At 44.0% G+C, this 3,095-nt stretch overlaps 1 annotated feature.

Moving 5' to 3' along the window:
* Positions 1,624–2,492: an enhancer, noted in NCBI's record as "OCT4-NANOG hESC enhancer chr7:33744844-33745712 (GRCh37/hg19 assembly coordinates)". NCBI's record gives its function as "activates a minimal SCP1, AML or CMV promoter by ChIP-STARR-seq in naive H9 embryonic stem cells {active_cell/tissue: H9 hESC(naive)}" and the evidence as "EXISTENCE:reporter gene assay evidence [ECO:0000049][PMID:30033119]".

The following is a 3,095-nucleotide window of genomic DNA, read 5'->3' on the forward strand; positions in this document are numbered from 1 at the left end:
GGCAGGGGATCTCAGAGGTGCCTCAGGAATTGCTGAAAGGTGGGGAGTGTTTAAATACCGGAGGGGTTAAACTGGCAGGCACACTCTTCCTCAGCCCTAAATCTGCTTTGATGTGTTTTGGATAATGGACTCCAGTACAAAAGACTTCTGAGGATACATCAGAAAATCTTTTTTTTGCTCTAGTGCAATCTCATTTTGACCCTCAAATACTATGCTTCAGCTTGATTATTTTTTAAAGACAGCAGACATGGCACTGAACATCTTGGGTTTTTCCTAAAAATCATAGTATGGTACCATGAAGTGTATTCAAAATGATGTGCCTATGCTGAATGCAACTGCAAAAGAATTTCCCACACACATAGATAACTCTGTGTGTGTGTGTGTGTGTGTGTGTGTGTGTGTGTGTGTGTGTGTGTGGAGACCTCCTTAACATAAGCCTAAGTCCCATATAGGAGTCCACTTTGAAGAGGATGAGACTCATTTGGATGGATATACTTTTCTACCATATTTGTTAGGAAAAAAGTCACCTAATTTTTACCATCACGACTCATATTTAGGTTTTGATAGATTTAATAAAGGCCTTAAGATCACTGGAAAAAGGACAAAGAGGAAATGGAAAATACTCTGGGTCCATGGCATGTTATCAACCAAAATATTAAAGTTGTACATTGCTAAGCTTTCAGACTTTTCTCTTGCATTTGGAAAAGGATGGGTTTTCCTTCTGGCTGCAGAATTTACAGTATTATTGAAGCTAGCTGTTATTTCAGTGAGAACTCTGCTCTCTATAAGAAAAGCATTAGCAGTGAGAAGTTAGTGAAGTAGTTGATTTGGGGGTATTTCCTAGAGAGAAAATAACACTTTTTTTCCCCTTGAAGTGTCTTTTCTTCCCTTGAAGTGTTCCTGGTGCGGTCTTGCTTTATCTGGGGGGTGGGGTGCTGGAGAAGGAGGGGTAACTTGATTGTAGGGGGATGTCAGGCCAGGGAAATGGATGGGAGAAGAGCCGGCTTAGGATGCTGCTTCTAGTCCCCCTCCCCTCGCTGTGCACACACAGACACATGCACATCAGTGGTCAGTTTAGCTGCAATATTCACAGCACATTTGCTGGGGTTCAATTGATCACTGCACACAAGAGATAGAGTCAGCAAGGATGTGGTGCGGAGAGGCCAGGGGCTTGGGGGCTTCCGCTCTCACACATCTTCAAGCCCCATTTTGAAATGGTTTGAATTAATGACACTTATTCAGACAGACAAAGGAGGTAAATGGAAATATTAGACAAGGCTTTGCACCTACTTTGCTCAACATTTCCCGTCACCTTGAGTGCTGGAAACACTCCACAGTCTTGCTCAGCCTGACCCAGGAGCCGCATGAGCTCACATGCTGCTCGCAGACTAAAGCCAAGGACCCTATTAGCGGAGGTTCACTAGACCAGTCTCAGGGACCTGAGCCCCTGTCCTCCAGCATCAGGGCTGCCCTCTTTGGGGGTGCCAATCCTCTCACCGATTTTATCATTTTTGTGCTATTTTGCTGGCAGTGCATGGAGTAAGGGCACCATTGAAAAACTCATACCAAGTCGCATTTGAGTTTGCTGGCTGGGCTGCCAAGCATCACCAAGCCAACAAAGTGAGGGCTAGGAGTCAGAGCTCGGCTTGAATCCTCACTTTGCCATTCACTATGCGTGTGACTTTCATCAAGCCACTTACACACTCTGAATTCATCAGCCACACAGGATCCTGTGAGGCTTCACCGAGACAAGCTGCGTCAAATGCGTGTAGGAGCATGTGCTCCCGAGTCCTTCTGCCTTTGTCTTCCTGGTCCACCTCTGCTTCCTTACCAGATAAGCTGGAGCACAGGTCGTGGGACCCTACAGGGAAGCAGAATCTCTAGAGCTACTTGATCTGGCAGGATATGCTCATTTGCAGAGTTTGAACTTGACATTGATGGCCTGCAAAGCCATTCTTTAGCCAAGCCTAGGAATTTGTTCCCAGGGAAGCAGCTGGCTTTGTTTTTTTGTTTGTTTGTTTGTTTTTCCCTGCTGGGCTGTGAAAAGCTATCCCATTTCACCCTCCTTCCACAGGTAAGGGGCAAGAGTCCCCAGGGTAGGCAGGTGGGGAACAAAGGATTGCAGTACAGATTGAGTGGATGCAGGGCCCCTTTGTTTCATGGCCTACTGTGTGAAGGGAGTGAATGGGAGGCAAAGGCCTGCCAATGAGTAGATTAATTTCACCCTGTCTGCTCCTAGGACTTGCTGTGGGAAACTGCTCTGGCTTCCTGTGTGACACCTCTCTTGCCTATTTTGTGTACACTGGGGAGTAGAATAGAGCATGATCCGGAGTTGGATGGCCCAGGTTCCAATCCAGGCCTCTTGTAGTTCCTGGCTGTATGATCTTGGGCAAGTTACTCAACCACTCTGTGCTTAAGTTTTCACATCTGCTAAATCGAGATAGTAATACAATGCCTGCCTCAGTGTGGTTACAGAGATTACATGAGCAGTATTTAACTTAGTAAGTATTCAATATGTGTTGACATTTTTATTTGTTATTTATCTGTGGCATCATGTCTCCTTAGATTCTAATTTATGCAATTAAAAAATGCATATAGTAGACTTTCTATGCAAACTGATAGTTTTGCAATATCGACAGGTTATTGATTTGGTTCCAGCACCCATTGTCAGGACTGTGAATGAACAAATCTGCTAAGCCTTGATTCCCCAAGACCTGCTCTGTTCACATGTCAGGTGAACCTTTGGCTGACTTTCCCAAGACTGAGCTATAAAACTCCTTTTACAGACTGAAAGATTTTTATTCTGAAAATATTATTTTCACTTTCCTTTCCACAGGGGGTTTACTCTTCTCTAGTGGGCCAATCTGAGTTTTCTTTCAGATTCCATGTTTTTAGTGTAAATGTTCTGAGGGGAAAAGTATACGGTCAGATGAAAGAGCACAGGCTGAGTTCTGGGTGTGTGTATGTTAGTGGAGGTTTTCAAATGCAAATATTTGATAAAAGTATGTGGTTTTGTTTATTTTATGTATATCTATATATTAGAAATGTTAACTTGAACTGAACCGTTTAACACGCTTAATCCGAGGCAGATGGAA

The sequence above is a fragment of the Homo sapiens genome, chromosome 7, assembly GCF_000001405.40.
Source record: "Homo sapiens chromosome 7, GRCh38.p14 Primary Assembly".
In the NCBI taxonomy this organism is placed as follows: domain Eukaryota; kingdom Metazoa; phylum Chordata; class Mammalia; order Primates; family Hominidae; genus Homo; species Homo sapiens.